General features: G+C 33.8%; 1 protein-coding gene and 1 long non-coding RNA gene across 16 annotated transcripts in view; one reads left to right on the plus strand and one right to left on the minus strand.

Annotated features, from left to right (window-relative positions):
* CALCRL-AS1 (CALCRL and TFPI antisense RNA 1) overlaps positions 1-13,161 on the plus strand; it is a 544,253-nt gene that overhangs the window by 486,346 nt on the left and 44,746 nt on the right. For all 3 annotated transcript variants that reach the window (NR_187179.1, NR_187178.1, NR_187180.1), the window contains exon 3: positions 9,888-9,987. This is a non-coding gene — a long non-coding RNA (CALCRL and TFPI antisense RNA 1). The remainder of the gene's footprint in view (positions 1-9,887; positions 9,988-13,161) is intronic.
* Positions 1-13,161, minus strand: part of TFPI (tissue factor pathway inhibitor) — a 90,206-nt gene that overhangs the window by 25,389 nt on the left and 51,656 nt on the right. For all 13 annotated transcript variants that reach the window (NM_006287.6, NM_001329240.2, NM_001329241.2 and 10 more), the window contains one exon: positions 7,263-7,460. In NM_006287.6, coding sequence (NP_006278.1) covers positions 7,263-7,460 — 198 coding nt within the window. The remainder of the gene's footprint in view (positions 1-7,262; positions 7,461-13,161) is intronic.

Below are 13,161 nucleotides of genomic sequence, written 5' to 3' on the forward strand. Positions count from 1 at the left end.
CCTGATTTACCTATTGACAATAGTCATAAGATGGGAATATATAAATGCTTGATTAATACAATTTTTAAAAGAACATCTATTTTGTTTGTTTACTGTTACATTGTAAATAGGATTAATTCAGGTAATATACATGCCAATTAACTCAATGTGGTTTAGCACACTAGAATTTTAAGTGTATTTATATTACCAATAATTGTCTTTGAGGACTAATAATAATAACCTTGGACACGATAATTTGTATGGCAATAGCAGTATGAAAGCGATTAATAGTTAGAAAAGATTTACAGCAAATTATCAAGTTTTCTTAGATTTAGACAGGACGAAGCATTTATCAATGCTTTTTAAGGAGCAATGAGAGAATGTTAGACTAATTTCCATTCTAGTACTCTTTTGAATTTCAATTTATATGAATTTGTTTTAATATTTCATTATGAATATTAAGATGTAAGACTGACAAGCAAAAATATCCCAAAATTTGCATTTGGTTGACACACATTGGCATATGATATTTATACCTCAAACTGACTTATTTATTTTTGCTTCTAAATCCATTCAAAAGTGTGCCAGATGTAAATAATGATATTTTCTTCTGGGTGTGCAAGGAGAGTGTTAGATAAATACCAATTGTGTGAAGTTGGTAGAGAGTGTTGTTCAAATCTTTTATATCCTTAGTGATTGTTGTTTACTTTTTCTGTCAGTTACTGAAAAAAGGTGTCTTGAAGTATGTAAACTGAACTGAATAATTGTATACTCTCACTTCTGCCAACTTTTTCTTTAAAAATTTTGGAGTTTTGTAATTAGGACCATGCACATAGGAATTAAGGATTGTTGTGTCTTTTTTATTAATGGACCCCCATTATAAATATCTTTCTTTCCACCAGGTAGTATTTTTTATCCTGTAGTCTACTTTTACTAATCATTCTTATGATTAGTGCTTACATATTATATCTTTTTCTATCCTTTCACTTTTAATCTCTCTGTCCTTATTTTTAAAGGGCCTTTCCTATAGACAACATGTAGTTAGTTCTTGATTTATTTTTGCATACAGAGTGATAATATCTACCTTTTAACTGGCGTGACTGGACCATTAAATTTTAATTTAATCTAATTATCATTAAAGTTGAGTATAAATATCACTAGCAATTTGATTTCTGTTTCTCATTTCTTCTTTGTTTCTGTTTCCCTCTGTTCATGTCTTCTTTAGAATTACTGTAATTGAATATTTTAATAATAATTTCATCTTCATTATGGGCCTATTTGTTATTTCTGCTTGTTTCATTTTTTTAATGGTTGCTTTAAGGATTATAATGTACTAATCCATTACAGTCTAGTGCCAAGTAATGTATGTCATTGTCACCTGTAGAAACCTCAGAACTTTACAACAATAATCTCATATTTTTCTCCTTCCTTCCTGTGTGCTTTAATTCTAAATCCTTTAATACTAATTGTACTGCTGCTCTACCAGGAATAAATTTCCCCAGATAATGCTGATTTGAAAAGCCCTTATTTTAAGAAGTAGATTACTGATTGGCACTTTTTTTCTCTTTCAGTTCTTTGTTTTTTCTTTTTAAAAATTTATTTCTTTTTTATTTTCATAGATTTAGGGGCTAGAAGTACGATTTTGTTATGTGGTTATATTGCATAGTGGTGAAGTGGATTTTAGTGTAACCATAACCCAAATAGTGTCCATTGTACCCATTAGATAGTTTCTCATTCCCCAGTTCCCTTTCATCCTCCCATCTTCCTGAGTGTCCATTGTCTATTATTCTACTATGCCCACATGTATGCACTATTTACCCCCCACTTATAAATTAGAACATGTGGTATTTGAATTTCTGTTTCTGAGTTATTTCACTTAAGATAATAGCCTCCAGTTCCATCCATGCTGCTATAAAAGACATGATTTTATTTTTAATGGCTGAGTAGTACTCCATGGAGTATATGTGTATATATAAATATCACATTTTATTTACCCAATCATCTGTTAATAGACACTTACGTTGATTTTATATCTTTGCTACTGTAAATAGTGCTGTGCTAAACATACAAGTACAGTTATCTTTCTGATATAATGATGTATTTGCTTTTGGGTAGACAGCCAGTAGTGGGATTGCTGGAACAAATGGTAGTTCTATTTTTTAGGTCTTTGGGAAATCTCCATACTGTTTTCCATACAGGTTATACTAATTTACATTTCCAGCAACAATTTATAAGCATTCTTTTTTCTCCTAATCTTCAACATCTGTTATTTTTTGACTTTTTAATAGTAGCCATTCTGACTGGTATAATATGGTATCTCATTGTGGTTTTAATTTGCATTTGTCTGATGATTAGTGATTTTCAGCATTTTTTCATATGCTTGTTGGTTGTGTATATGTTTCTTTTGAAAAATACCTTTTCATGTCCTTTGTCCATTTTTTAAATGGTTTGTTATTTTCTTGTTGAATTGTTTGAGTTACATGTACATTTTAGATATTAGTCTTTTGTCCAATACACAGTTTGCAAATATTTTTCTCATTCCTTAGGTTATCTGTTCACTCTGATACTTCTTTGGCTGTGCAGAACATTTTTAATTTAAGTTACTTGTGGATCAACTTCAATTTAACTCTCATTTGGCTATTTTTGTTTCTCTTGCATTTGCTTTTGAGGATTTAGTCATAAATTCTTTGCCTAGGTCAATATGTAGGAGGGTTTTTCCCAGATTTTCCTCTAGAATTATTATAGTTTCAGGTTTTACATTTAAGTCATTAATCTATTTTGAGTTCATTTTTGTATAAGGCAAGAGACATTATTCCAGTTTTATTCTTCTGCATATGATTATCCAATTTCTCAACACCATTTATTGAATAGAGTGCCCATTCACCACTGTGTGTTTTTGTTGATTTTGTCAAAGAACAGTTGGCTGTAAATAAGTGTTACAACCAGGAGGGAGGCTGTACCCTGCAAAGTCACAAGGGCAGAGCTGCCCAAGACCATGGGAGCCCACCTCTTGCATCAGCGTGACCTGGATATGAGACATGGAGTCAAAGGAGATCATTTTGGAGCTTTAGGATTTGACTGCCCTGCTGGATTTTGGACTTCCATGGGGCCTGTAGACCCTTTGTTTTGGCCAGTTTCTCCCATTTGGAACAGCTGTATTTACCCAATGCCTGTACCCCCATTGTATCTAGGAAGTAACTAACTTGCTTTTGATTTTACAAGCTCCTAGGCAGAAGGGACTTGCCTTGTCTCAGATGAGACATTGGACTGTGGACTTCTGAGTTAATGCTGAAATGAGTTAAGAATTTGGGGGACTATTGGGAAGGCATGATCAGTTTTGAAATGTGCAAGTGCATGGTGCAAGCTGTCAATGGATCTACCATTCTGTGGCCTGGAGTATGGTGGCTTTCTTCTCACAGCTCCACTAGGCAGTGCCCCAGTAGGGAATCTGTGTCGGGGGTCTGACTCTACATTTCCCTTCTGCACTGCTCTAGCAGAGGTTCTCCATGAGAGCCCCACCCATGCAGCAAACTTTTATCTGCGCATCCAGGCATTTCCATACATCTTCTGAAATCTAGATGTAGGTTCCCAAACCTCAATTCTTGACTTCGGTATACTCTCAGGCTCAATACCATGTGGAAGTTGCCAAGGCTCGAGGCTTGCACCCTCTGAAGCTCTGGCCCTAGCTCTACGTTGACCCCTTTCAATCATGGCTGGAGTGGCTGGGACACAGGGCACGAAGTCCCTAGACTGCACACAGCATGAGGACCCTGGGCCGGGTCCAGGAAACCACTTTTTCCTCCTAAGCCTCCAGGCCTGTGATGGGAAGAGCTGGCACAAATGTCTCACATGCCCTAGAGATATTTTCCCCATTTTCCTGGTGATTAACATTCAGATCCTTGTTACTTATGCAAATTTCTGCAGCTGGCTTGAATTTTTCCTCAGAGAATGTAATTTTCTTTTCACTTGCATTGTCAAGCTGCAAATTTTCCATACTTTTATGCTCTGTTTCTCTTTTGAAACTGAATGCCTTTAACAGCACCTAAACCCCCCTTGAATGCTTTGGTGCTTAGAAATTTATTCTGTCAATTACTCTACATCATTTCTTCAAGTTCAACATTCCACGAATCTCTAGGGCAGGGGCAAAATGCTGCCAGTCTCTTTGCTAAAACATAATGAGAGTCAGCTTTGCTCAACTTCCCAAAAAGTTCCTCATCTCTATCTGAGACCACCTCAGGCTGGACCTTATCGTTCATATCACTATCAGCATTTTTGTCAAAGCCTTTCAACAAGTCTCTTGGAAGTTCCAAACTTTCCAACATTTTCCTGTCTTCTTCTGAGCCCTCCAAACTGTTGCAACCTCTGCCTGTTACCCAGTTCCAAAGTCACTTCCACATTTTCAGGTATCTTTCCAGCAACACCCCATTCTACTGGTACCAATTTACTGTGAGCAAGTCACATCTTACATGGATAGCGGCAGGCAAAGAGAGAGCTTATGCAGAGAAACTCCTGTTTGTTAAAACCATAAGATCATGTGAGACCCATTCACTACCACGATAATAGCATGGGAAAGACCACCTTCCCCCCCGCCCCATCCCCCATGATTCAATCATTTCCCACCAGTCCCTCCCACAACATATGGGAATTATGGGAGCTACAAGATGATATTTGGGTAGGGACACAGAGTGAAACCATATAACACACATTGTTAGAAAAACCACAACCACTTCTGCTTTCTAATCTCTAATAGCCATCTCCTCTTTTCAGAGAGACCACCATGCTGTACTTGGGTTTCTTTCATGTAATGGTGGTTCTGAATGCCTTCACACAGGAAGCAGGGGAGACTGCAGGGCTCATCTTATGTATTTACCTTCTCCCAGAGGTCACAATCCTGCACTGCCTTTTGTTCAATGCTTGCAAACAGTAGTTTTTTACATTTTGTCCAGTTTTATAGTTCTTTATGTTGGGGAGAGAAAGTCTTGTTCTATTTATCCATCATGGCTGCCGATTAAATTCTCTCCTTAGGTGCGTTTTTAAAAGTCTAGCCATATTTTTTCCATATACCAGTTATATCCTTATCAGTAGTCTGCTGTATAAAACACTCAGACATTCATACAATAATTGCAAGTGACTTTTCTTTTTTTTTCATGGAGTCTTCCTCTGTTGCACAGCTAGAGTGCAGTGGTGCAATCTTGGCTCACTGCAACGTCTGGCTCCTGGTTTTAAGCAATTCTCCTGTCTCAGCCTCCTGAGTAGCTGGGACTACAGGCACATGCCACCATACCCAGCTAATTTTTGTATTTTTAGTAGGGACGGAGTTTCACCATATTGGTGAGGCTGGTCTAAAATTCCTGACCTTAGGTGATCCACCCACCTCAGCCTCCCAAAGTGCTGGGATTACAGGTGTGAGCCACTGCACCCAGCCTCAAGTGAATTTTGATAGATAATGAGGAGATGGGGGTAAGAGAGTTACATTTACATGCTAGCCAGAAATGATATTTTAAATGATGATAAGCAAGGCTATCACTGATGAGCAAAATGATTACATTTCCCTAACCTTTAAAGAAAAGAGTAAGTTTTGCACAATGATAAACCATAAGACTTGAACTATACACATATATAAAAAGAACAGGTATATATTTCAGGAAAGAGGCCAGTTGATGAAAATAAATAGCCTGCTAAATGAAAGAGTGGGGATTACAAAGAATGAGGCAACCAGGCTTCTAGCCAAGGTACTGACAACTAAGAATGATTTTCAACTCAACACAAAAGGATACTTGGCCCAATATGTATGGAAGAAAATGGGGTATAGAAATCTGTGATGAATGGGAAAAGACCAAGCAATCACAAAAACCAAAAGCACCACTGAGGACCACTGAGCTGCCTAAACTGTGTTAGTAACATTCCTAGGGCATCTATGGAGAGGAAACAGAGAAATCAGTGCTGTGAGGTTAAAGAAATATATTCGTGTCTATTCTCTTCTTTCAGCTTGGGAGCATACAACTAAACATCTTACAGAGCCACAGAGGAGAGAAGTTCACTCTTTTCACCACATGGAAGTTTTCCCACAGGCCAAGAGCACCATGATGCCAAGGCTGTTTAGTAAAAGCTATTTAGAAAGCAGTAACAGAGTGAGAATGCAGAGCTGCCTGATTTGCAAAAAACAAGACATCTAGTGTTACTAACCAGAGATATCATTTCTGTATCACCTCAATTGTATCCAACCAGCTCTACGAACATGCTATGGTAGAATATTGGTCTAGAAACTAGGGAAATAAAAGCAACTCAACTTATTCTATCCCTTGAGTAACTTACAATTTGGAAGAATAGCCTGACATTAAAAAAAAAACATTCAAAATTTTGGTCAGTAATTATTTGTAATTTATCTTAGTGAGAAGATATAAAATCCCATACAATAAAGTAATTAGCAAAATTTGCAAAAATGTTAAATTTTAGTAGGATTAATGCAGAGTAAAAGTTTAATATAATATGACGTACTTTTGAAATTTATAACTTAGTAATATTAATATAAAACATTGGGTTTAGTAAAGTCCACAAGGGTCATCAGGGATGATTTTTCTTTTCTATGGTATTCTATTTTTATTTCCTGTAGTATTTTAAGGTTCCAATAATAAAAAAATCTTAAATTTCATATATAGTTCTACTATTTTATGCAGCTTACAATTTTGTAATTAAGAGCCATAGAGCTTCAATTTCCAGATTCATGATCTTGAGAGAGTATAGCGATGAGACCATTGTGTTGACAAAGGAAAGACTAAGTCAATGTGACTAACAGTTTTTCTTCTGCCAACTGAGATTACAAGTCTGGGAGGCCGAATTACACCCACTTTATTTTAAAAATACTTCACAATTCTTTGAACATGAGTTGAGGTTTTTTTCTTCTGTCTTTATTATGGATAAGAGTATAAGACAATAAATGGGGCCTCATATTTTATAATTCACTGATATGAAGAAAATGAAAAATGATAGTTGAACATGCAAGTTGACCGTACCTAAAATTTGATAATTTGCTTTAAAATGTCTCTCGGGCATATAGAGAGTTTCTGGTACCTATAAATGTGGGTATTTCATGGTACAATTCAGAATTATCATTTTCCTTAAATGTTTTTAGGATTCCCTGAAAGTCTAAAAATGTGGAAATAAAAGATTCCTTGGAAATATTAAAACAGCATGAAATTACTTTTCTCCCTAAATTATCAAATCCATAATTAGACTCAATAGCCCTAAAGGGTCTTGAGTAATAAGGGTTCCCAGAAACCTACCTCTTGTACACATTTTTTTGCACTCTTCCAGACTTTCAAATCGATTCTGATTTCCTTCACATCCCCCATATATAAATTCTTCGCACTGTCGAGTGAAAATATTGAAGAAAAATCTTTTCATGATTGCTTTACATGGGCCATCATCCGCCTTGAATGCACAAAATGAATGCATAAGTTTCAGTGGTGGCAACTCCGTATCTATAAAGTAAAAATAAAAGATATAACATGTAATCTCCATCAACACTGTAATAATGTTCTTTATTTCCTTTTTAATATGTCCTGATTTTAAGGAAAAGTACAATAAAACATACTAAGAAACTATAAAAAGTTATTCAGTTATCAAAATGGTAGATAAAGTTAATAAATTCACCAAATGAAACACAACTTCTAGACTCTTGTTAGGGAGGTATTGCTTAAATCGTACCAACCGAACTGGGAGGGAATTGAGTAGTAGTTGTAAGGCAACTTCATTCAAGTGGATGTGTCCACAATAGACCTCTTTTAACTCAGCTAATGGACAGTTCTTTGAATTTCTCTCCCTAACCCACACTTGTGTCACTTTTTACACATAAAACAACCCTTTAAAAGCAACAGCATATTCACATTCACATATATATATACACACACATATGTATATAACACTATATTAAACCATTTTCCCTAATTATAAAAATTTATGTGTTTGATGTTCTGAAAAATATACTTCATGGTGCTTTTTATTTTAACTTACCATACCATGCTTGGGTTTTAATAATGTTGAAATAATGTAAATAATGCTTTCTATGTTTTAAATAGAATGAGGCAATTCTTTTGACTTCACGTTATATATTTTTTCTTTAAATATTTAACTCCTAATTTTCATAACAGAATTTTCTATCCTGGGAATGGACATAGAAATAGGGGAAACTCAACTAGATTTTTTAAACATTTTATTTTTTTCAAGTCCAATAAAATTAATAGAAGCCTAATGTTAAGTAAAGTCTATTTGTTTACCAGTAAAGATAGACACTGAAAATTGTGGGTGGTGCAACCAAAAGAATAATGACAAAAATGCCATATAATACTTCTTGAATATTTTCTGCATATTGAGTCTATGTATTTTCTATGTCTTTGGCAATTGATTTATTAATCTCTTATGGGGAATATTGAAACCTATAAATGACCGAAACCAATTTTGCCTCTAGAGGGCAGCAGTATTATATTGAATTAAACAGATGAGTATAAATATCTTGAAAAAAAGTGTTTTCATGCATTCTAAAATAGTTTACTTTGAACAACAACAAAAAAAGAATGAGACTTTAATATTTTCACATAAAATATTTTTAAAGCATAAAATACAGGATAAGTTTTTGGAGTATGATTGTCTCAAAAGAAATCAGTTTTAAATTTCCTGTAATTTCAAAATGTGAATTTTTTGAAACAGAAAATATGTGTGTAATAAAAGTTAAATTAGATAATTTTATTAATTGCACTCCACCCATAATATATTATTATTCTAATAATCAATTTTGAATTAATAGCAAGTATTAGTCTTATTTTAGTAATGTTAAAACTTTTTGTAACAAAATGATTGAAATGATATTGTTAATTTTTTATATGAGTCATAAAATTGTAAGTAGCCTTTACAATCTTGGAAGGATTAAAGATACAGCTTTCTATACATAAGTTGGCATTTTCATGCTGTTTGATTCATGTGACACTAATTATTTTTGAACACGTAAATTTTATCTCAACTACTAACACTGCTTTCAATTTTTAAAAATACTAGTTAAATTTACATAATACCATCTCATTATTTTGATCTATTTGATAAGTTAATTGATTATTTTTTTCAATTGAAATAAATTGAGCTGACAGAACTGATAGAAGAGTATGTTTTTCAGGTCCAGAATTTGTTAACTTAGAATAACATATGACAGAGAATTATTATGATACGGGGATAGTTTCAGCACCAAACACAATTGTCATAAAATAGCTAATTAGCAAGTAAGAATGTTGATCAAATCTTTAACTAAAGTTGAGTTTTATGCACATATGCATTTGTGTGTCTTCAAATTTTTCTGGAGTTATATTCAATTGACAAAATATAATGTTTGTGTTTACCAACATGATTTTTAAAATAATTTTAAACCAATAACAGTGTCACTAAATCCAATAAATATCTATAGTATATATACAAATAATTGTATCAAAGTGAGTTAAGAAATATTGGTGAACATTGACAAGTTTAAATGTCATTTCTTTTTTTTTTCAAATCCTTTATCTAACATTTCATGTTGATGAACATATCTAAAATACGATAATTTGCTTTAGAAGGTCTCTCAGGCATATAGAGAGTTTCTGGTACCTATAAATATGAGCACTTCATGGTAAAATTTTCCATTTTTCTTAAATTAGATACACAAGTACTTTTTAATAGAAATTCATAACAAATATAATTGAGGATTGCTAAAAATACTTTCTAAAAATCGAAAAATGTATGAACCAAAATGACTTGTTAAAACACATTTTCTCTATCACTGAAGTTATAATTGTCAGTTTTAAAAATCATTGAATTTTTTTTTCTGAGTGGCACATTTATGAATAATTGTAAATGCTGTTTATATCTTTTTGTCTTTACTTAAGGATTTTAGAATGCCAAGCTGACATTTTGAGTTTTTATGAGAAACCAGAAAATTTGGTGTGAAGACCCTAAGTGGTGTGTCTGACTTACAGCAGGCCCACAGTAAGTATCATCAAATTACGTATCGTGAGTTTCTGAACTCTAGACATGTTTGTTTTGAAACCAATAAAAATGTGACCTATCAGCTCCTTAAATATGGGACCCCAGAATTCACATAACAAAGCAGGAATAAAAATATTCTGGCATTTTTAATTTTACAGCTATATACCATTATCTCAAATTGCTGTAGAAATTCTCATATAATGTGATGTTATTCATTCCCAAGTTAACATGACTTTAGAACTTTAGAGACAAGTTATTGAGGTAGTGTTTCAGATAGAAAACTTGAATAAAGATCTGTATCTGCAGAACACAGGGAACTTTACCTAATACCTGCATTGCCATGTATATTCAGAAAAATCATTTTTCATAAATCAATAATTTTATCAGATACTAATTGATGATTTTTCTACTTTTTATTCTTAATATATTTGATAGTATTTATTATCAAGCTAAATCTTTTTTCCATTTTCTGCATTAAAGATATAATCACCTCTAGTTCAATCTGCTATTGAGTAATTTTGCCAGCAGGTGGTGGCAGTGCACCACAAAGGCAAAAGCTGATAAACTCGCTGTAGTAGTTGTACCTAGCAACAATAGCTAATGTTGCTCACTGAGTAATTACAATACCCTTGACATTTTTGTAATTGTACCCTTTAATGATCATAACCACCTACTGAGTTAGGCATTATTATCTTCATTTTATAAATTATAAAATAGCTTTCAGAAATTAAGTAAATAACTTAAATTCATACCATAAATGATGGGTTTAAAATTGATCCTCATATGGTTTTACAACAGCTATCTCACACATTCTTAATAACTACATGATATTGTCACAGACATGTGACTGAGATTCCTAAAGTAGCATTTGGATCAAGCATACGGTTTTAATTATATAATTTCCACTCAATCAACAACATTTTTTTTCAAACATTCACCTTTATGAAACTAAAAATGGTTTCAATAATGGAAGTAGGTGATAATTTTATAGAAATTTTCTAGGAGAAACACTAAGTATTAACTTTTATGAATTATATTTTGTTAATTATTAGGTGATTATTTGTCTTTATTCACACTTTAATGTATTTCTTATAGAAATCCTGTATTAGAATATTCTTTGTGCAGTGATCTTGCAGCCCACACCTAAGCACAGCATCCCTGGACTCAAGCAATGGCCAGGTGTGCTGTGTGACCCACAGTGCCATGCCACTTCACCCAAAAGGGATGGAAATCTGCCTCGGTTTTCATTTCTTATTTTGAATAAACCCTTTTGAATGTTAATAATTGGGTATTGACCATGCGTCAAGCACTGTGCTGTCACTACAGATATGACAGTAAATTAGATGACAGCAACCCCTCGTTCATGGAGCATATAGACACTAAGGACTTACATAAACATTCAGAAAGTCCTGGGTGCTGTGCGAGTGAACAGTAGGATACCTAAATTAGCCTGAAGGGGTCAGCGATAACTTTCCTGAGACTTGAAATTGAGACTTGAAGGAAATGTTTACAGAGGTAATAATTATCTGCCAGCGGCCATGAGAAAGCAAAACACATAGAGGGCAATCTAAAAGGAATTTAATCTGATCCAGTCATATAAATAGAATTATGGTTTATATTGAATCATTTGCCTTTGATGTCATGAATTTTATGTCTCATAGTCTAAAGGTTACAATCCTGCCTTCCCCTTCCCTCCCCCCGCCCCATGTCCTGGGATGTTGGATAGAAGCTTACTATAATATTTGCTGCCTGAAAACATATCATGCCCTTGACTGTAAGAATACTCATCCTCTTGGAACTTATTTGCAAATCTAGGGCTTTCAGGTAACTTACCATCTAAGAATCCACATGCTGCTAGACTCTAATTAAAGGATTTTATTTTATTTTATTTTATTTTCTGGCAGGGAAGAACAAACACATGTACCTTTTGCCTTCTCTGTGTCAGAAAATGTGCCAGATGCTTTTCCACTTTTTATATAAAAATCATAGGAAATTAGTTATTTACATTATTCATTTACAGCTTAGGACACTGGTAGTCAGAAAGTTTAACTTATTCAGTCTCACAAAGGTACTAGGTGGCAAACTACACCTGCAAACTCAGGTCTGTCTGATTCTAAATCCTACAAAAGATACTTGCCTTTCACTAAATGTTCACTCTTAATTTTCTCTCTCCTAGCCCAATGGAATTGTTTTAAAAAGCTTATCACTACTCTTTTTATTATCATTTTTGCCTTATCTAGACGTTAATTCTAGATTATCCTCCCTGCTGATTTGACTGTTAAAAAAATCATCTACTATTTGCTTGTGAGAGAAGCAATAAAATTTGATGTATTTTTCTATTAATAAGAGTACCTTATTTCAATTAAATAATATACTTCTATAAAATGATGTTATGATCTTAGCATCATGTGATAAATTGTATCTCCTAAATAGAATTTTTTCAGATGTGAGATAAGGTTATTATAAAAATTAATTTTAAACAAAAACAAAATAAAACTAGATAAAACTGCAACTAGTTGGTGAAGAGGTCTTTAAGTCTAGCTTAAATATCAAAATTCTTTGTTACCACCTAGGTTTGGAAGCTACCTTATAGTAATTTTAAATTCTGGCTTAATTACTGATAACTTAATTCTGGATTATTGATTGACAGTGGCAGCAGCCACAATTTCAGGAACTTCCTGGTTAACCAATATTCATTTTCTCAGTCCAGTTGAGGAAAATTGGACTGGGACAAATACAGGGAACACTTGGATCTATTTGCTTCTCACTTCCCACAAGTGAGATTGCCTGTTTTTTCCCTGTTAAGACTTATTTTATCCTCCACCTTCCTTGTTTCTGTAACCTCCAGAATGTTAGAATTTTAACCCACCACCTTTTGAGAAAAAAGCCGAATGAGGGATTGAAACTCATAATGTTCAAATTCTTATTTTCAAAAAGGTACATTAGGGTTTTTACTAAATAATGCTTCATCTCTAGGAAATTTTTATAACATGACTTCCCCTTGTGGAGCCCTCAGAGAGCCAAGCTTGATTGAATCTCCTTCCTCTTCCCATCAACAGCAGCACTCTCCATGCTTCTGTCACTTTGTGTACTACTTTATACGGAAATAAACTGTCCACCCTTCACACTCCCCTAGGAAACAGTGAGATTCTTGAGCACCTCATCTCAGCCATA

This window comes from Homo sapiens, chromosome 2, assembly GCF_000001405.40.
Source record: "Homo sapiens chromosome 2, GRCh38.p14 Primary Assembly".
Classification (NCBI taxonomy): domain Eukaryota; kingdom Metazoa; phylum Chordata; class Mammalia; order Primates; family Hominidae; genus Homo; species Homo sapiens.